Here is a 22,919-nt window from a genome sequence, read left to right on the forward strand (position 1 = left end):
CATCTCAAAAAAAAAAAAAAAAAAAGAAACGGAAATTTCTATGTATGGCTAAAAAGAATAAACATAACTTCCCAAGTCCTTTTCTTTTTTTTCTTTTTTTTTTTGAGATGGAGTCTCACTCTGTTGCCCTGGCTGGAGGGCAGCGGAGTGATCTTGGCTCACTGCAACCTTCGCCTCCAGGTTCTAGCGCTTCTCCTGCCTCGGCCTCCTGAGTAGCTGGGATTACAGGTGTGCACCACCACACCCAGCCAATTTTTGTATTTTTAGTAGAGATACGGTTTTGCCATGTTGGCCAGGCTGGTCTCGAACTCCTGACCTCAAGTGATCCACCCACCCTGGCCTCCCAAAGTGCTGGGATTACAGGCATGAGCTGCCACACCCGGCCCCAAGTCCTTTTCTATCTTATCTGCAATTGATAAACTTGACAGAGAAAAAAGACCTTTGCATGTATTTCTCAGATTATATATATGTTGTACTTAAAATAACCAGCCATATTAAATTCAGGAACTAATTTAATGAGTTAGAATAGTACTCCGTAAGGGATGGGCACGGTGGCTCACGCCTGTAATCCCAACACTTTGGGAGGCTGAGGCGGGCGGATCACGAGGTCAGGAGATCGAGACCATCCTGGCTAACACGGTGAAACCCCATCTCTACTAAAAATACAAAAAATTAGCCAGGCATGGTGGCGGGCACCTGTAGTCCCAGCTAGTCGGGAGGCTGAGGCAGGAGAATGGCATGAACCCGGGAGGTGGAGGTTGCAGTGAGCTGAGATTGCACCACTGCACTCCAGCCTGGGCAACAGAGCAAGACTCCGTCTCAAAAAAACAAAACAAAGCAAAACAAAACAGAATAGTACTCCTTAAGGAGATAATGAAAAATAAAATGTTTAATTACTCATTTACTTAGATTAACCATTATTTATTCCCTCATGAGTTCCAAAATAGAGAAAAATATTTTGACTGAATTTCATATACATATAGCATAGGGATGTCAACATATATTAACATTGCTGATATTTTCCTCTGATCCTCTGACAAATTCATCTTAAAAGGGTAGAGGGAGTGTCAGTAACATGTGAGCCAAATGGGCTCAATATATGCAGCCACATATAATTACTACATACATAGTAAAATTCCAGTCCTGTTATAAATTTTTCTAGCTTTATTGAGGTATAAACTGACCAATAAAGTCGTATATATAGAATATATATAATGTGATGTTTTGATATATGTATGCATTGTGAAATGACTACCACAATCAAGCTAATTAACATATCCATCACCTCACAGAGCTATCTTTTGTGTGTACATGGTGAAAATACTTAAGATCTACTCTCTTAGCAAATTTCAAGTATATAATATATTAACTACAGTCACCATGCTGTATACTAGGTCTCCAGAACTTATTTATCTTATAGCTGAAGATTTGTACCCCTTAACCAATGTCACCCCATTTCTCACACCCTTGTCCCCTGATAACCACCCTTCTACTCTCTGTTTTTATGAATTCAACATTTTTAGATCCTACATATAAGTTAGATCATACAGTATTTGTCTTTCTGTGTCTGGCTCATTTCCTTTAGCATGACATCTCTAGGTTCATCCATATTGTTGCAAATGTCAGGATTTTTTTTTTTTTTTTTTTTTTTTTTTGAGCTCTGTTGCCCAGGCTGGAGGGCAGTGGCACGATCTTGGCTCACTGCAAGCTCTGCTTCCTGGGTTCATGCTATTCTCCTGCCTCAGCCTCCCAAGTAGCTGGGACTACAGGTGCCCACCACCATGTCCGGCTAATTTTTTGTATTTTTAGTAGAGACGGGGTTTCACCGTGTTAGCCAGGATGGTCTCGATCTCCTGACCTCAGGTGATCCGCCTGACTCGGCCTCCCAAAGTGCTGGGATTACAGGCTGGATTTCCTTAAGGTTGAATAATATTGTATTTTGCACATGTGCATTTTTTTTATTCATTCATCCAGCAATGGACACTTAGGTTGTTTCTATATCTTGGTCATTGTGAATAATGCTGTATACATGGAAGTGCAGATATACTTCAAGATTACTTCAAGATAGTAATTTTATTTCCTTCGGAGACATATCCAGAAGTGGGATTGCTGGATCCTATGGTAGTGATGTTGAGCAGCTTTTCACACCCCTCTTAGCAGTTTGTAGGTCTTCTTTGTACAAATTATATTCAGGTATTTCGCTCATTTTAAAAATCAGATTATTTATTTATTTGCTATAGAGTTGTATGAGTTCCTTATATATTTTGGATATTAACCCTTATCAGGTATATGATTTGCAAATATTTTATCCCACCCCATAGGTTACTTTTTCATCTTTGTTGACTGTTTCCTTTTTTGTGGAAAAATTTTTAGTTTGATGTAGTCCCATCAGCTTTTTTTGCCTAGTTTTTTGGTGTCACATCCAAAAAATCATTGCCAAGACCAATATTAAGAACTTTTTCCCCCATGTTTTCTTCTAGGAGTTTTAGAGTTTCAGGTCTTCAGTTTTTTTTTTTTTTTTTTTTTTGAGACGGAGTCTTGCTCTGTCGCCCAGGCTGGAGTGCAGTGGAGCAATCTCCAATCACTGCAAGCTCTGCCTCCCGGGTTCACACCATTCTCCTGCCTCAGCCTCCCAAGTAGCTGGGACCACAGGCACCCGCCACCATGCCAGGCTAATTTTTTTTGTATTTTTAGTAGAGACAGGGTTTCACCGTGTTAGCCACGAGGGTCTCGATCTCCCGACCCCAGGTGATCCGCCTGCCTCAGCCTCCCAAAGTGCTGGGATTATAGGCGTGAGCCACCGCGCCCAGCCACGTTTAAGTATTTAATCTATTTTGAGTTTATTTTTATGTGTGGTGTAGGTTAAGGATCCAATTACACTTTATGGCATGTGATAGCCAGTTTTCCCAGGACCATATATGTTGGAAACTATCCTTTCCCCATTGTGTATCAGCTTAAAATAGACTGCTATAACTATGTTTTATGTGAGCATCAAGGTAACCACAAAGCAAATACCTATAGCAGATACACAAAAGATAAAGGAACCAAAGCATACTATAGAAAATCATCAAATCAGCAAGGAAGACAAAAAAGGAACGAAAGGTTTACACAACAGTCAGAAAACAATTGACAAAATGGCAATAGTAAGTCCTTACCTATCAATAATTACTTTAAGTGTAAATGGAGTAAGTTCTCCAATCAAAAAACAGAATGATTGAATGGATAAAAATTCAGGACACAATAAAATTTTTAAATTAAAAAAAAAAAACAGGACCCAAAGAGATGCTGCTTACAAAAACTATATGCTGCTTACAAAAGACTCACTTCAGCTTTAAGGATACACACAGACTGAAAGTGAAGGGACAGAAAAGATATTCCACGCAAAATGGAAACCAAAAGAGAGCAGGAATAACTATACTTAGACAAAATAGACTTTAAGTCAAAATCTATTCACAACAGACAAAATAATTGTTTAATTATAAAAAGGTGAATTCATTAAGAGGGTTTAATTATAAATACATATACACCCAAAATCACAGCACCTAAATATATGAAGCAAATATTAACAAATCTGAAGGGAGAAATAGACAGCAATACTGTGATAGTGGGAACTTCAATATGCAACTTTCAACAATGGACAGATCATCCAGACAGAAACCAATACAGAATACATCAGACTTGAACTATACTTTAGACCAAATGGACCCAACAGACATGTACAGAACATGCCATCCAACAGCAACAGAATATAAATTCTATTATAAATTTTGATTATTCAAATGATATATAAAAAAACTTATCCCCTCTATATAAAAAATCACAGGTAATTCAAATAATTAAATATTTTGAAATAAAATTATAAAATATTAAAAGGAAAGAATCTTTTATTATGTAGAACTGAGTCCTAAGTACAACACATAAGCCACAAAACAGAATAGAAAAGACAGATAAATATGACAACATAAAAAATTTTAATGTCTGCATGGAAAATATGGATTAAGACCAAAAAGATTAGTAACAAATCGGTTAAAAAAATGCAACACATGATAAATGGCTAGTTTTCTTAGTATGGATAAAGCTCCTACAAATCAGTAATAAAATGCACAAACAATTCAATGGAAAAAATGGACAAAGGACATACACAGACAAATCACAAAAAAAGGAACTCCATGTGGCTTTTAAACACATTTTTTTAAATGTCTGACCTCAGTTATTTTAAAAGAAAATTAAAACTTAAAGACAATATTTTTTTACCTCCCCTACTATCAGAAATAAAAAATTAGCAATACATTTTGTTGGTTAAGGGGGTAAGGAAAAAGTTATACCCATACATTCATACATTATTGGTAGAAGGGGAGGTCTCGCTATATTGCCCAAGCAGGTCTCAAACTCCTAGGCTCAAGCTATCCTCCCACCTCTCACTACCTAAGAGTTGGGATTACAGGCCTGAGCCACCAAGCCTTGCCTGATACAATTCCTTACAGAACAATTTGGGAACATCTACAAAAATGTAAAAGTTGCATAACCTTTCAATTCTAGAAATTTTCTCCACTTCTGGTAATTTATCTTATAGATGCACTTACATGTGTAAACAAAATAACATATATTAATACAAGGATAGTCATAATAGCATCATTTGTATTAGCATGATGTTAGAAATAATTTAAATGTTAGACAACAGGAAAATGGATAAGCACAGGGCTTTGCAAGGCATAAATTTTATTAGATCCATGTAATTATTATAAATCCAGCCAAAAGAATAAGAAAGATTTTATACGCTGATATAGATAGAAAAAAATCAAAAGGCAGAAGAAATTGTATCAGTTTACACTTCTACCAACAATTTATGAGTGTAACTTTTTCCTTACCCCCTCTCCATTCACCAAGCTATTCTTACGCCTAGAGAGTAGGATCTTTTTCAAATTCACACAAAGATGCCATATGGATGAGCAAAGGCATATGTTAGTTGTGTACTGATATGGTTTGGCTGTGTCCCCACCCAAGTCTCATCTTGAATTCCCATGTGTTGTGGGAGGGATTCCATGGAAGGTAACTGAATCATGGGAGCCAGTCTTTCCCATGCTGTTGTTGTGATAGTAAGTCTCACAAGATCTGACGGTTTTAAAAATGGGAGTTTTTCTGCACAAGCTCTCTCTTTGCCTGCTGTCATCCATGTAAGATGTGACTTCCTCCTTGCTTTCCACCATGATTGTGAGGACTCCACAGCCAGGTGAAACTGTGAGTCCAATTAAACCTCTTTCTTTTGTAAATTGCCCAGTTTCGGGTATGTCTTCATCAGCAGCATGAAAACGGACTAATACATGTATTTTCAAAGCAAACAAAATAGATGATAAGAGAAAATTTCACCAGAGAAATGACCATGTAACAAAGAATTCAATGTACAAGACTAAAATATATAATACACGAAATTAAGAACTGTGTGAATGGATTTAGCAAGACTTGATACAGCTAACAACAAGATTAATAAACTGGAAGATAAGAAACAGAAAAATCCTCAAAATGATGGCCAGGTGCAGTGGCTCAAGTCTGTAATCCCAGCAATTTTGGAGGCCGATGTGGGTAGATTGCTTGAGCCCAGGAATTCAGGACCAGCCTGGGGAACATGGCAAAACCCCACCTCTACTAAAAATACAAAAACTGAGGTGGGAGGATCACTTGAGCCTAAGGAGGTTTAGGCTGTGGTGAACCGTGATCACACCACTGCACTCCAGCCTGGGCAACAGAGTGAGACCCCATCTCAAAAAAAAAAGAAAAAATCCCCAAAATCAACTATAGAGGAGAAAAAAAGTAAAGGGGGGGGGGGGAAAGATGAGCAATAAGAGACCTAAGTAATATACCCAAGAGGTCTGATACACATATAATTAGAATTTAAGAAGGGAGAGAAGGGAGTTAGAAACAATATTTGAATACCAATGACCAAGAATTTTCTAAAACTGATAAGAGACATCAACTCATAAAATATTGAACCCATAGCTTTCAGACTTTCATTCAACTCCAAGATACCACAAAGAAAATCACACCTACGTCTGTCATAGTCAAACTGTTAAAATAATAATAATAATAATAATAATAAACAGAGAAAATGTTAAAGCAGACAGAGGGAAATAAGACACATTACCTTGAAAGGAGCTACAAGCTGCATACTCAACAGAAATGACGGAAGCTGAAATAGCACCTAACATAAAATACTCAGAGAAAATACTCTTCAAAACTGAGAATGAAATAGGAATATTCATACATTACTCATGGGAATATAAAATGGTACAACCACTGTGGAAATAGTACGGCAGGTCCTAGAAAAGATAAACATAGAGTTACTATATGATCCAGCAATTCTACTCTTAGGTATCTACCCAAATGAACTGAAAACCTGTCCATGGAAAAACTAGTGCACAAATTTTCATAGCAGATTTATAATAGCCAAAAAGTGGAAACAACCAAAATATCCATTAATTAGTGAATAAACAAAATGTGGGAAAACCATACAATGGAATACTACTCAACCATAAAAAAGTAATGAATAGGCCAGGCACAGTGGCTCACATCTGTAATCCCAGCACTATGGGAGGCCGAGGTAGGTGGATCACGAGGTCAGGAGATCGAGACCATCCTGGCCAACATGGTGAGACCCCATTTCTACTAAAATGCAAACAATTAGCCGGGCGTGGTGGCGCGTGCCTGTAGTCCCAGCTACTCAGAAGGCTGAGGCAGGGGAATCACTTGAACCCAGGAAGTGGAAGTTGCAGTGAGCCGAGATCGCACCACTACACTCCAGCCTGGCGACAGAGCAAGACTCCGTCTCAAAAAAAAAAAATAAAGAAATGAATAAAACACACATTACAACATGGATGAACCTTAAAAATATTATGTTAAGTGCAAGAAGCAAGTCACAAAAGGCCATATACTGTATGATTCAATTTATTAAATCTCCATAGTAGACAAATCCATTGATATGGAAAGCAGATTGGTGGTTGTCAGAGGATGGAAGGAGAGGAAAATGAGGATTGACTCTTAATGGCACCAGATTTCTTTTGAGAGCGAGGAAAATGTTCTAGAATTAGATAGTGGTATGGTTGAACAACCTTGTGAAAATACTAAAAACCACTGAATTGTATACTTTAAAATGGTGACTTTTATGGTGTGAATTGCATCTCAATTAAAGAAATGAAAACTGAGGGAATTAATAAATAGCAGGCCTACACTAAAAGAAATATTAAAGAAAATACTGAAAGAAAACTATCCCAGACAGAAGCAGAGGAATGCAGGAGGGAATGAATAATACTGGAAAGAGTAAATATATGAGTAAATATAAATGAACATCAGCTATACAAAATAATAAGTTTAAAAATTTATAACACAAAATGCAGGAGATAATAAATGGAGCTAAAGTTCTCTAAGAAAGTATTTCCCAAACCTTAGTGTACGTATAAATTACCCATTCTGATTCAATAGGTTTGGAACAGGGCTTGAGATTCTGCATTTAACAAGCTCCTGATGGCTTAGATGTTGCTCATCTATACATGACACACCATATCAAGGTTTTAAGTTTCTAGCAGAATCTGTTAAGTAGTAAAACTATTACTTTTATTAGACCATATTGAGTCAAGAATGCATGTTGTAATCACTAAGGAAATAACAGGAGTAAAAAACAAGTTAATTTAGAAAAATAAAATCATTTTTAAATTTGATTAATAAAAAAAAAAAAAAGTAGGGGGAGGAAAGGGAACATTAAAACAAGTGGGTAATGTAAAAGTTAAACTCCTAAAAGAAAATAGGAAAAGTTTTGTGAACTTAGGTTAGGCAAAGATTTCTTGGCCAGAATACAGTAAGATTATCTGTATGCCAGGTACTCTCCTAGACACTAGAGATAAACCCTGTGAATAGATAATAACAGTATAAGCTGTTTGCCGTTTAAAAAAAAAAACAACAAAAAAAAAACACTAGCTTCGCCTGTGAAAGGCCCAAGCAGTTTATTTTACCTGGCAAAGCCCTGTGCTTAAGAGGTGAATCCTCCTAACCAGGCTGCAACTATTCAAACCAGTGATCCCAACTGGGATCCTCCAGATCAAAGAAAGATGGCTAATCAAAAGAAAGTGAAGAAGTTGGCCATGCAGATACATATGGAATTAGGTCTCTAGAGAAAACAAAATTAAGGCAATAAGGACCAGGCATGTTTCAGAAACAGCAAAGAGGTCAGTGTGAAAGAGGTGAGGGTACAAAGTAAAAGGTCAGAGAGGTAACTGGGGCCCAGTGTGTTTAGATCTGCACTGCCCAATACAGGAGCCATTAGCAATATGTGGTCGTTTAATTTTTTATTTTACTTAAATAAAATTAAAGATTCAGTTCCTCAGATGTATTAGCCACAGTGCAAGTGCTCAATAGCCACATGGTAGCTAGTGGCTACCAGATTGGAGAGTGCAGATAGAGAACATTTTTTATTCTTATTTTTTTTTCCTAAAGAGACAGGGTCTCAGCCCAGGCTGGAGTGCAGTGGCTATTCACCATTCACAGGTGTGATCCCACTATTGATCAGCAGAGGAGTTTTGACCTGTTTTCTTTCTGACCTGGGCTGGTTCACCCTCCTTAGGCAATCTGGTGGTCCCCGCTCCCAGGAGGTCACCATATTGACGCTGAACTTAATGTGGACACCATCATAGCGTACTATAACCTACAACTCCTAGGTTCAAGCAACCCTCCTGCCTCAGCCTCCCAAGCAGCTGGGACTACAGGCACGTGCCACTGCGTCTGGCATAGATAAAGAACATTTCTATCATCACAGAAAGTACTATTGGACAGAGCTGGTTTAGAGCTTTTGTAGGCTGTCATAAAGATACATAGAGAAGCTAATATAAGAGTGTAAGAAAGAACTAGACACACAACAAGAGGTTAGCAACTCTCAGAATGGCCAAACCCTGAAGCACAATTGCCATTGATCCTTCAATAAATTCCCAGTCCTTGGGTCAATTAAGTGAATACTTCTCAAACGTTTCCTTAAAATTATCTTAGTAGGCATCCTTGAAAAGGTATTCCATGGTCAAACAATTTGGGGAAAATTAATGTAAATTATTTGGGAGAAATTCCTCACCCACATCTTTGAAAAAATTATGTCTTAAGATTTGAAACTTCTTTTAGCTGATTCTAGGTCAATAGTTGCCAGTTCTTTCAAATAATTACTAAGAAAACAGATTTTGTTACTGTAGGTTTTCCTTAGAGACTTTAATATGTTAACGTATATTGTGAGTCTCCAAGAATTACATAGACTATACACTGCATCCAAATAAGGATAAGAATTATTATAATTATTGAGCACTTAATATGCCCCTGGCACAGTTCTAAGTACTTTACATATGTTAGCTGATTTACTCTTCACAAAACTCTATAAGATAGGTACTATTATTATCTCTAGTAGGGGAAGAAACAAGGCACAAAAAGGTTAAATAACTTTACTATCAAAAGGTGAGGGTGTGAAAGTGTAACAGGGTAGTATGCAGTAGAGGTGATTCAAACCCTTGTGCAGGCTGGCTCTGGAGTCCATGCTCTTAACCATTTTATACTTTTCAGAATTATTTGAATATCTACTATGATAATACAGAACTTGGCTGGGCGCGGTGGCTCACGCCTGTAATCCCAGCACTTTGGGAGGCCGAGGCAGGCGGATCACGAGGTCAGGAGATCGAGACCATCCTGGCTAACACGGTGAAACACTGACTCTACTAAAAATACAAAAAATTAGCCGGGCGTGGTGGCAGGCACCTGTAGTCCCAGCTACTGAGGAGGCTGAGGCAGGAGAATGGCATGAACCCAGGAGGCGGAGGTTGCAGTGAGCCAAAATCGCACCACTGCACCCCAGCCTGGGCGACAGAGCAAGACTCCATCTCAAAAAAAAAAAAAAAAATACAGAACTCTGTTCCTACAGTTTGGGAAATGCTAAATGACTACTGAGGCCTGTCTTTCTTGCAACCTGAATGACCCATGCTAGAACTATATCCAAAGTTACTTTTGCCCATTTAAAAATGTTCCAGGCTGGGCGCAGTGGCTCACGCCTATAATCCCCAGCACTTCAGGAGGCCAAGACGGGCAAATCACTTGAGCTCAGGAGTTCAAGACCAGCCTGGGCAACAAGGTGAAACCCCATCTCTACTAAAAATACAAAAATTAGCCAAGCTTTTACACATGCCTGTAGTCCCAGCTACTTGGGAGGCTGAGGTGGGAGGATTGCCTGAGCCCAGGAGGTCAAGGATGCAGTAAGCCGAGATCGCACCACTGCACTCCAGCCTGGGCAACAAAGTGAGAACCTGTCTCAAAAATTAAACTAAATTAAAATTTTTTAAATGCTCCAGTTCAGTGGGGCGCGGTGGCTCACCCCTGTAATCCCAACACTTTGGGAGGCTGAGGTGCGCAGATCATGAGGTCAGGAGATCAAGACCATCCTGGCTAACACAGTGAAACCCCATCTCTACTAAAAATACAAAAAATTAGCCGGGCGTGGTGGCAGGCACCTGTAGTCCCAGCTACTCAGGAGGCTGAGGCAGGAGAATGGTGTGAACCCAGGAGGCAGAGCTTGCAGTGAGCTGAGATTGCGCCACTGCACTCGCCTGGGCGACAGAGTGAGACTCCGTCTCAAAAAAAAAAAATGCTCCAGTTCGTGCTGGGCAACAAGGGTGAAACTCCGTCTCAAAAAAAAATTGTAATAATAATAATGCTCCAGTTCAAGGGCATAACCAAAAAAGAAAACTACAAACCAATATCCCTGACGAACACAGATGCAAAAATCCTCAACAAAATACTAGCAAACCAAATCCAACAGTACATCAAAAAGATAATTCAGGCCGGCGCGGTAGCTCATGCCTGTAATCCCAGCACTTTGGGAGGCCAAGGTGGGGGGATCACAAGGTCAGGAGATCAAGACCATCCTGGCCAACATGGTGAAACCCCATCTCTACTAAAAATACAAAATTTAGCCGGGCGTGGTGGCATGCGCCTGTAGTCCCAGCTTCTGAGGAGGCTGAGGCAGGAGAATTGCTTGTACCCAGGAGTCCAGGGGTGCAGGGAGCCAAGATCAAGCCACTGCACTCCAGTCTGGGCAACAGAGCGAGACTACATCTCAAAAAAAAAAAAAAAAAGATAATTCGCCATGATCAAGCGGGTTTCATCCTAGGGATGCTGGGATGGTTCAACATGTGTAAGCCAATAAATGTGACTCATGACATAAACAAAATTAAAAACAAAAACCATATGATCATTTCAAAAGACACAGAAAGAACACTTAATAAAATGCGGCATCCTTTTGTGATTAAGGGAATGTGATCTCGGCTCACTGCAACCTCCACCTCCTGGTTCAAGTGATTCTCGTGCCTCAGCGTCCCACGTAGCTAGGATTGCAGGCATGAAGAAACATACCTCAAAATAATAAAAGCATGTATGATAAACTTACAGTCAACAACATACTGAACGGGGAAAAGTTGAAGGCATTCCCCCTCGGAACTGCAACGAGATAATGATGCCCATTTTCACCAGTTCTATTCAATACAGTACTGAGGATCCTAGCCAGAACACTCAGGCCAGAGAAAAAAGTGAAGGGCATCCAAGTAGGAAGGGAGGAGGTCAAGCTGTCTCTGCCGATGATATGATAGCATACCTGGAGGACCATGAAAACTCCTCCAAAGGACTCCTAGATTTGATAGGGTTTCAGGTTGCAAAATCGATGTACACAGATCAGTGGCACTGCTATGCACTGGCAACAATCAAGCTGGGAATCAAATCAGAAACTCAGTCCTTTTTACAGTGGCTGCAGAGAAGATAAAATACATGGGAATATACTTGACCTGGGAGGTGAAAGATCTCTATAAGGAGAACTACAAAACACTGCTGAAAGAAATCACAGATGACACAAACAAATAGAAATCTATCCCATGCTCATGGAGTAGAAAAATCAATATTGTGAAAATGACCATACTGCCCAGGGCAATCTGCAGATTCAGTGCAATTTCTATCAGGATACCAATGTCATTTTTCACAGAATTAGAGATAGCAACCCTAATATTCTTATGAAATCGACAGAGGGCCAGGTGTGGTGGCTCACACCTGTAATCCCAGCACTCTGGGAGGCTGAGATGGGGGGATCACTTCAGGCCAGGAGTTCAAGATCAGCCTGGCCAGCATGGCAAAATGCCATCTCTACTAAAAATACAAAAATTAGCCTGGCATGGTGGTGTATGCCTGTAATCCCAGCTACTTGAGAGGCTGAGGCATGAGAATCACTTGAAACAGGAGGTGGAGGCTGCAGTAAGCCAAGATCACACCACTGCAGTCCAGCCTGGGCGACAGAACGAAACTCTGTCGAAAGAAAGAAAGGAAAGAATGGAAAGAAAGAAATCAAATCAAAAGAGAACCCAAATAGCCAAAGCAATCCTAAGCAAAAATGACTTATCTGGAGGCATTACATTGTTGGACTTCAAATTGTACTATAAGACTGTACTAACTGGAATGGCATGGTACTGGTATAAAAGTAGACACATAGACTAATGGAACACAATATAGAACCCAGAAATAAAGCCAAATACTTACAACCAACTGATCTTTGATAAAGCATACAAAAACAAAAACTGGGGAAGAGGACACCCTATTTGGTATATGGTGCTGGGAAGACTGAATAGCCACATGTAGAGGAGTGAAGCTGGATTCCCTGTCTTTCACCATATACAGAAATCAACTTGGGATGGATTAAGGACTTAAATCTAGGACCTGAAATCATAGAAATTCTAGAAGAAAATCTAGGAAAAACTCTTCTGGACATTGGCCTAGGCAAAGAATTTATGACTAAGACCCCAGAAGCAAAAGCAACAAAGACAAAAATAAATAAATAGGACTTAAACTAGTGAGCCTCTGCACAGCAAAAGGAATAATCATCAGAGTGAACAGACAGCCCACAGAGAGGAAGAAGGTATTTGCAAACTATGCATCTAATGTCAAGAATCCACAAGGAACTCAAACAAATCATCAAGAAAAACACAATCCCATCAAAAAGCGGGCAAATGGGCCAGGCGTGGTGGCTCACGCCTGTAATCTCAGCACTTTGGGAGGCCAAGGTGGGCAGATCATGAGGTCAGGAGATCGAGACCATCCTGGCCAACACGGTGAAACCCCGTCTCTACTAAAAATACAAAAAATTAGCCGGGTGTGGTGGCAGGCGCCTGTAGTCCCAGCTACTCGGGAGGCTGAGGCAAGAGAATGGTGTGAACCTGGGAGGCGAAGCTTGCAGTGAGCCAAGATCGAGCCACTGCACTCCAGCCTGGGCGACAGAGTGAGACTCCCTCTCAAAAATAAAATAAAATAAAATAAAAATTAAAAAAGTGGGCAATAGACATTTCTCAAAAGAAGATATACAAATGGCCAACAAATATATTTAAAAATGATCAACATCGCTGGGCATGGTGGCTCACGCCTGTAATCCCAGCACTTTGGGAGGCCGAGGCGGGCGGATCATGAGGTCAGGAGACCAAGACCATCCTGGCTAACACGGTGAAACCCCGTCTCTCCCAAAAATACAAAAAATTAGACGGGCATGGTAGTGGGCGCCTGTAGTCCCAGCTACTTGGGAGGCTGAGGCAGGAGAATGTCGTGAACCCAGGAGGCGGAGCTTGCAGCGAGCCAAGATCGTGCTACTGCACTCCAGCCTGGGCGACCAAACGAGACTCTGTCAAAAAAAAAAAAAAAAAAAAATGCTCGACATCAGTAATCATCAGGGAAATGCACATTAAAACCACAATGAGACACCACTGTATCCCAGCCAGAATGGCCATTATTAAAAAACCAAAAAACAATAGATGTTGACATGGATATGGTGAAAAGAAATGCTTATACACTGCTGGTGGGAATGCAAATTAGTACAACATCTGTGTAAAACAGTATGGCAATTTCTCAAAGAACTAAAAGTAGATCTATCATTTAATCCAACAATCCCACTACTGGGTATCCACCCAAAGGAAAAGAAGTCATTATATCAAAAAGACACATGCATGCATATGTTTATTGCCCCACAATTCACAATTGCAAAGATATGGAACCAACCTAAATGCCCACTGATGAGGGAAAAAAGAAAATGTGGGCCAGGCACAGTGGCTCATGCCTGTAATTCCAGCACTTTGGAAGGCCAAGGTGGGTGGATCACCTGAGCTCCAGAATTCGAGACCAGCCTGGGCAACAGGGTGAAACCCTGTCTCTACTAAAAATACAAAAATTAGCTGGGCGTGGTGGCCTGTGCCTGTAGTCCTGGCTAGTTGGGAGGCTGAGACAGGAGAATTGCTGGAGCCTATGAGGCAGAGGTTGCAGTGAGCCGAGATCACGCCATTGCACTCCAGTCTGGGAAACAGAGCGAAACCTTGTCTCAAAAAAAAGAAAGAAAAGAAAAGGAGAGAGAGAGAGAGAGAAAGAAAGGAAAGAAAAGAAAGAAAGGAAAATGTGGTATGTATACACCATGGAATACTACTCAACCATAAAAAAGAATGAAATAATGTCTGCTGCAGCAACTTGGATGAAGCTGCAGGCCATTATTCTAAGTGAAGATGATTCCATTCCAGAGTTAGGGAATGGAAAACGTAATCCCACATGTTCTCACTTATAAATGGGAGCTAAGCTATGGGTACACAAAGACATATAGAGTGGTATAAAAGACATTGGAGACTCAGGAGGTAGGAGGTGGGACAGGGCTAAGGGATAAAAAACTACATATTGGATATTGGGTACAATGTACACCACTCTGGTGATGACTGCACTAAAATCTCAGACTTCACCCACTACACAATTCATCCATGTAATCAAAAATGACTTGTACCCCAAAAGCTATTGAAATAAAATATATATAAATAAAATTTTTTAAATAAATTAAAAATATAAAATGATCCAGTTCCCAGTTTATAGTTTTTATAACCTGCTGAGGTTTTGTTTGTTTTAAGAAAGGCTAGGTCATATCACCTGCAAACTGCATTGACTTGTTAATTTCCATGGTTTCATGCCCATGAATAATAGAATCTTAACTACAAACTATTCAATATAAACTCTAATCTGGAGATTTACCAAAACATAATTGTGATATTCTAGCCTTTGTATCTCTACAGTGTTCTCTTGAGATGGTTACAAGTAAGTCACTACCATTTTATATGGTAAATAGCCAACTTCTTTTAAGGCTAATGGAGAAAATCATTTGGCTTGTTCAGTTATAATGACAGATTCAAATATACAAGGTCAAAATTAATTATTAAAATTTCAAATTCAACCAAGTTACAAATACATGCAATTTGAATGCTTAACACATAAGCATGAATAATTTATGTTATATGCCATTAAATTTTAAAAGCATTGTTTTTCAGCTCTTATGATAAATAATAAAAATCCCTGAGGCAATTACTGATCTCTGAACTTATTGGTACTGTCACACCTTCTTTTTTTGATAGGCTTTGTGAGAGGGGAACCAGTGAAATCAAAACCACTAAAGGACCCTGTTCCTATTAAAATATCAATTTTTGTGAAGGTATAATCATGACTGTCATACAAGCATAAAATGAACACACATCAAAGACTTTAACTCATTAATTAATGAGTGATCCAGTAAGATATTACAACTAGTTCAGAGGAGAATTCCAAGTACCACACATGAAAAGGCAATCAGGAATGCTGAAATGAATTTCTAAATACTAGATGCACAACTGGCCTTTGCAGGGGAGAAGAAAAGGAAAATTGATCACCCTTCCATTTGGAAAGAATAATTTGCGTGCCTATGGACAAGAATCACTTATACTGCTATCAATTATCTACGATGTACAAAAATAGAAAATAGCTCAAAGACAATGAAAGGTGCAAATCTCTTAGAATTGGATAAAACAGAAGGATAAACTGCATTCCAGACCACCCAGTTTTCCACTGAAGATACCCAGTAATCTTTTCGAGTCTTTCACAATTTTTTCTGACAGCCTCAAAGTGCAATATGCTAGAATCAGGGATAAGCTATTTTTTATAAAATAAATATGATCAAAAGAAACCTGCCATGAGATAATTAGAAGGAAGTGGTGCTAGAAATGAACACAAACACAAAACACAGCATGAACCTAGGAATGCATAATTAATGCAAATATAACTATTTTCAGCATCATCCAAGGGAGAGAGAAACCTAGGTCTAACTATACAAGCATAGGATTCTAAACTTCACAGTCACCAGCACTCTTACAAGACCTTTATTTTACATCAATATAAGAGTCAAGGTTGTCAGGGATGATCTATGATCTCCTGACTGTTCTGTGAGGTATAAAACAAGGTAGTAGTCTAACCTCTCCTCTCATTCCCATTTTTTAAAACTTAGGTCTTAGAATCTGAAACAACTTTTACAAGATCTAGAACAGGAGTCAGCAAATGTTAGGTGTGAGTCAAATCTAGCCTGCTGCCTGTTTTTGGAAATACAGTTTTACTGGAACACAGCCATATCCATTCAGTTACCTGTTATCTATGGCTGTTTTGTGCTACAGTGGTGGGACTCAGTAGCTGCAACATAGACCATATAGCCCACAAAGCATCATCTAGCCCTTTATAGAAAGTATGCCAACCTCTGATCTAGCTCAACAGTTGCCAATATGTACTTTCAAGTCTCTTGATCTCTTTTGTTTTTAATTAGAAACAGAGTCTCACTATGTTGCACAGGCTGGTGTCGAACTCCTGTCCTCAAGTGAGTCTCCCACCTTGGCCTCCCAAAGTGCTGGGATTACAGGCGTGAGCCACTGCACCCAGTCACTCTGTCACTCCTTTTTTTTGAGACAGGGTCTTGCTGTGTTGCCCAAGCTGGAGTGCAGTGGCGTGATCTGAGCTCACTGTGACCTCAACCTCCCAGGATCAGGTGATCTTCCCACCTCAGTCTCCCAAGTAGCTGGAACCACAGGTACTCTTTCGCCTAGGCTGGAGTACAGTGGCACAAGCATGGCTCATTGCAGTCTCAACCTCCCAGGTTCAGGCAATCCTCCTGCCTCAGCCTCCCATGTAACTGGGACCACAGGTGTATGCCACCACACCTGGCTAATTTTTTATTTTTTTGTAGATATAGTCACTTTGTTGTCCAGGCTGGTCTCAAACTCCTTGGCTCAAGCGATTCTCCCACCTCAGCCTCCCAAAGTGCTGGGATTACAGGCACAAGCCACTGTGCTTGGCCCTCGCCACCCTCCTGACCTCTCTTAAACATAAAAAAGTTTTTCTGATCCCTTAATTATACATTTTAAGACAGCTAACTGAGAAAATACAAAGAAATAGCAAAGGCTACTCTGAATGCAGTTTTTGTTTGTTTGTTTGTTTGTTTTGAAATGGAGTTTCACTCTTGTTGCCCAGACTGGAGTGCAACGGCTGGGTCTTGGCTCTCTGCAACCTCCACCTCCCAGGTTCAAGCAACTCTCCTGCCTCAGCCTCCCAAGTAGCTGGGATTACAGGTGCTCTCCACCACACCTGGCTAATTTTTGTATTTTTAGTAGAGACAGGGTTTCACCACATTGGCCAGGCTGGTCTCGAACTCCTGACCTCAGGTGATCCGCCCACATTGGCCTCCCAAAGTGCTGGGATTACAGGCATGAGCCACTGTGCCTGGCCTGAATTTAGCATTGCCTTTAAATACATTATATTCCATGCATCAATACTGTATCTATACATATTTTAAAAAACAGAAGCATATATGTGAAAAAGTTATTTTATTTACCCAGTCTACAGATAATGCTTGGTGTACATGTGAACTGAACCATGGGCTCTGTTTGGAGTCCCCAAAACCTAGGAAGCAGTGATCTGGTTCAAGTTGCCTTGCTACAGAGAATAAAAGCTTATGCTGGTTAATCAATTCTGCAATCTAATTCTAATTGCTGTCAGAAATAATGGCTTGACAGCAACTACTGTACTGTTTTTGCCAGACATCTTCAAAAATCTCAATAATCTTAGTCTATTTAGTTATTTAAAGGAACATCAATGATAATACAATCTGACAAATTCAAAGGGAAGTTATATTGCTCAGAACTAAATGTCTATGGAAACATTTTGAGATTTTGTTCCACAGGTAATACAGATGTCTGGTAACACCAGTCTAGAAATTTTTCAGACCAAAATCTTCTTAGCTGTTTTTATTGCAAAGCTTTGAGAATATAATTTGTTCCAGGCTGAAACAACAAATATTTCTTCAAAAAAATCTAGTTTTGCCTGCAGGTACTCCCTGAACCTGTTCTGTAAGCCAGCAGGATGGTCCTTCAATCAGATGAGACACCAGGTTAAGCATCTCAATATTACAAAAGGAAACTGACAGCATCTTTACCATTTGCCCAACTGATCCCTATTGTATAAATATGCACTCAGTATATACCACAGAATACCTATACTCCAAGCCCTCACCAGAAAATGCCACTTTATATCATTTCCTGTTCTGAAAGGTTTTCCTTTCATTTACCTAAATCTGCCTCCCTAAAACTCCCATTGATCTGAGTTTTGTGCTTGTGTGGACTCACTAGGAACCCCAAAGTTGGTATGAAAATTATTTTAAGCTGAAGACATTTGAAATTCCACAGATAGAGGAAGATTTCTCAGAGCTTCCCTGACTAAAAGCAGTGACTTCTGGGAAATAAGCCTGCCATAAATTCCCTCTTTGGAGCAGGTCTACTCCCAGGAGGAAGAATAAAAATAAACATACCATATGCTGAGCATGGTGGCTCATGCCTGTAATCCCAGCACTTTGGGAGGCCAAGGCAGGTGGATCACTTGAGCCCAGGAGTTCCAGACCAGCCTGGGTAACATGGCGAAACCCCATCTCTACTAAAAATACAAAAAATTGCCAGGAATGTGGTGTGAGTCCGTAGTCCCAGCTACTCACGAAGCTGAGGTGGGAGAATCACCTGAGCCTGGGAAGTCAAGACTGCAGTGAGCTGAGATGGTGCCACTGCACTCCAGCCTGGGTGATGGGGGTGAGACCTTGTCTTAAAAAAAAAAAAAACCAACCCTACCATAAATCCTCTCTTCCAGGAGTTATATGGCCCTGGAGAAGATGGAGAGACCGCTCATACCTGTACAGACTAACATTATCACAAACTTTCTTATCTCTCATTTGTTCTTCTAGAAACCCATTTGTTTTTCTGAAAGAAACCTATTTATTCCTCCCATAGAAGCTGTTTCTCCCCACTTCCCTTCCCATACTAGGTATATAAGCCTTTAACTCTACCGATCTAATAAGCCAGCTACTCCTTTTGTTAGCTCCCTTATACATACCACAAACCCTTTTCTCCTGTTAATGTTGTGTCAGTTTAATTTGCACGGCCCCAGACTGTAAACATAAGAGAGTAGAAGAAATTATTTCCTCTCTTACATGTCCGAAAATGACGTAAGAAGACACTTAAGTCTTCTGTCTTCAGATATTGTGCACTCTCAAATGTCTTGTATGCCTCTGTAACATCTATGGTTTAGGACTATTGTGTGCTGAACTTCCGTTCTTACAACATTCCTTTTTTCACTTGGGAGAAAAAATGAGAGAGAAGAGAGAAGGATAGATGAGGACATTATAAAGGGATTGGCTAGATAAGCTAGTCAGAGTACCTGTTCATTTGTCTTTGATAAGCTGTAGCTCTCCCACCATTTCTCCATTTAAAAGCCCAAGTGCCCTCAGTTACTTGTGAGGGCTAAAAGGCAGCAATCTAATAAGTCCTTAATTAAGGACTATGTACACCCAAGGCAGCTTATGCCTTCTCAGAACTGAGATTCTGCTAAGGGCCTGGTGAGGAACTGCTCAGAGGTGACAAAGGGCTTAAAATAAATATATATATTTTTTTGAGGCGGAGTCTCGCTCTGTCACCAGGCTGGAGTGCAGTGGCGCAATCTCAGCTCACTGCAACCTCTGCCTCCTGGGTTCAAGCGATTCTCCTGCCTCAGCCTCCCAAGTATCCGGGATTACAGGTGCCCGCCACCATGCCCAGCTAATTTTTGTATTTTTAGTAGAGACGGGGTTTCACCATGTTGGCCAGGATGGTCTCAAACTCCTGATCTCAGGTAATCCACCCGCCTCGGCCTCCCAAAGTGCTGGGATTACAGGCGTGAGCCACCATGCCTGGCCTTAAAATAAATTATTAAATGCCCACTCCTTTCTTTCCCTTCCCTCACTGTGAAGTGTCATCTTACATCCTTTAGGATGTTATCACAAATTCGTCACTTCAACCATCTTCAGTGGACTAGCAACTCCTTAGGTGGGAAGTGGGAAATGTTTCCTTAATGTTTCCTTTCTAAGCTAAATGCCCTAACTTCCCTCAAATGTTCATCATATGACCTAGTCACTTTTTAGGATGCTCTCTACTTAATATGTTCCTCTAAAAATATGATTCCTCAAACTGGACTCAAATTCAAAATAGAGCAGAACAGCTTTTTAGAGCATAACTCTATATTCATTAATGAATACTAGGACTATATTCTTTAGCTTTTTAGAGATTAAATATGGTTAGTTCATATTATACTTACAGATAACCTCAATATCTTTTCCTATAAATTACTGATAAGGTTTATTCATATGTATTTGAACCTAAATGCAGGACATCACTTATAACTGATGAATGTTGCCTTGATTTATCAATGTCTTCAACTATTGAGCACATGTGCTCTGTGCCAGGCATTTACTGAACACTGAACATAATAAAAGAAAATAAACATGGTCCCTACCCTATAGATTACAGACTATCTTGATGATTTCATATCATTCTAGTATATCAACATATCTTAGAATCCTAAATCTTTCCATGTATTATCTATCCATTTCATATTTGTGAAAACTACAAACCCAATAAACATGCCTTTTATGCCTTCATATAGGAAACTGTACTATTAAATAAGACAAGATTTTTAAAAATAGTCCTGTGTCTTGGTACAGACTTCCTGCAAATTTCTATGAACTTTATGGTAGTCTAATTCAATAACTTTATTATCAGTGTCTATAAAATTCACGTTGTCCCTAAGATGTTACTTTATCAAATTATTTCAAAAAAACAAGATACACTATTTCATCTTAGAATTCCCCTCACCCTAGGCCGGGCGTGGTGGCTCACGCCTCCCAGCACTTTGGGAGGCCCAGGCGGGCGGATCACGAGGTCAGGAGATCGTGACCACGGTGCAACCCCGTCTCTACTAAAAATACAAAAACTTAGCCAGGCGCCGTGGCGGGCGCCTGTAGTCCCCGCTACTCAGGAGGCTGAGGCAGGAGAATGGCGTGAACCCGGGAGGCGGAGCTTGCAGTGAGCCGAGATTGTGCCACTGCACTCCAGCCTGGGCGACAGAGCAAGACTCCGTCTCAAAAAAAAGAAAAAAAAAAAAAAACTTCCCCCACCCTCAAAATAGGTAATGACAAGTTCTTAAGTGAACCCAGGTTGACACCTACTCCTTATCACCTCTATCTCGTCAGGATTCAGTTAGAAGACAGAAACTACATCAGTTATTTGAACAGATAAAATGTAATACAAGAATTTGTTAACTGAGTTTGAAATTTTTAAGTAAAAAGCTGAAAGGACGCAAAGATAACACAGATAGCAACTGCAGGAAGCAGCTACCACCCCTAAGGCTGAGTTAACAAACGCTCAGAGGAGGGACCCAGGGAACTTAAACTCAGACTTCTGAGAGGGCACTACTCAGCTGTGCTGGTTTTTCTAATTTCCCAGGAGAGGCCCAAGGAGCCTGGGACTCTAGTGGACTCTAAAGGAAGCTTGATAAAACTGGTCCTCAAATGTTGGGAAAACTGCTAACTGGATCCAGTAACTGCTACAGGAAGGTACTGCTGCTGCAGAGATAAAGAAATGTCATTAAGGCAGCACTCACAGGAACAGCAGAGAGGAAGGCCATGACGAGGATACGAGCAAATCCCTCTGCCTCTTCTAGATCTTTACCACCCACCACTCGCAACAGGGAGCAGCTGGCAAAGCTGAAATGTTGCTTGCAGAATCTCAGTCCCAGGATCACAAAGCAGAATACATAAGATATCTTTGCAGCTAAGAATAAACAAGATGGATGGATATGCAGCAATAATTTAACTGGCAAAATACATTCTGTTCCAAGGACACACAAACTATCTGTTTAATAATCTACAATTTTGTGCAAGGGATGAAAATCAGTGACTCCAATCTGTATCCAACAGTTAATCATCTCGTGCTACTCTGAAGTGTAATAATAACAAAAACAATATCTCATTGTTCAATTCCCACCGGCCTGTCGTGGCGTGGAGAGAGGGGGGAAGGATAGCATTAGGAGATATACCTAATGTAAATGACGAGTTAATGGCTGCAGCACACCAACATGGCACATGTATATAACAAATCTGCACGTTGTGCACATGTACCCTAGAACTTAAAGTATAATTTAAAAAAATACAAAAAAAAACAGTATCTAACATTTATTTAACCTTACTTCATGCCCAGAACTGTTTAAATAGTGCTTACGTATTGCCTGATACTTTATTATGCTACACACACACAAAAAAAGAAAAAATAGTATACAGGTATTGAATTCTTTTAATGCTCACAACAAACCTGCGAAGTAGACAAGCTAGTATTCCCACTTTATACGTGGGACAATAAGGTGCAGAAAAGTTAAAAGTTAAACTGTTTGACTTTTGCCCAAAGTCACACAGTTGTGGAGGGGCTTAGATTAAACCTAGGGAGTCAGACTCCAGAGTCCATGATTTTGACCACTACATACGCCTCAATGCCACAATACACAACCTTCTCTAAATCTAAAGTAGCCTTTGAAATGTAACTCTTGTTGAACACAGTTTACATGGTTTTTAAATTTCATATCTGGATTTGTAGCTTTACAGAAAAGCAAACTCTCACAGATGGAGGTATTCTTACTCTCTACTGAGAACATCCAAC

At 40.0% G+C, this 22,919-nt stretch overlaps 1 protein-coding gene and 1 pseudogene across 8 annotated transcripts in view; both read right to left on the bottom strand.

Annotated features, from left to right (window-relative positions):
- Positions 1 to 22,919, bottom strand: part of TTC28 (tetratricopeptide repeat domain 28) — a 701,827-nt gene that overhangs the window by 656,486 nt on the left and 22,422 nt on the right. For 2 of the 8 annotated variants that reach the window (XM_047441214.1, XM_011530018.4), the window contains exon 1: positions 21,871 to 22,292. The exons of 5 other annotated variants lie outside the window; for them this stretch is intronic. In XM_047441214.1, coding sequence (XP_047297170.1) covers positions 21,871 to 21,894 — 24 coding nt within the window. In that variant the 5' untranslated portion in view covers positions 21,895 to 22,292. Of the gene's footprint in view, positions 1 to 11,659; positions 11,879 to 21,870; positions 22,293 to 22,919 lie in introns of those variants that run through there. One more of the 8 variants, XM_017028673.3, reaches the window with a different exon arrangement.
- RN7SL162P (RNA, 7SL, cytoplasmic 162, pseudogene) lies at positions 8,480 to 8,771 on the bottom strand (annotated as a pseudogene).

The sequence above is a fragment of the Homo sapiens genome, chromosome 22 (assembly GCF_000001405.40).
Source record: "Homo sapiens chromosome 22, GRCh38.p14 Primary Assembly".
Classification (NCBI taxonomy): Eukaryota; Metazoa; Chordata; class Mammalia; order Primates; family Hominidae; genus Homo; species Homo sapiens.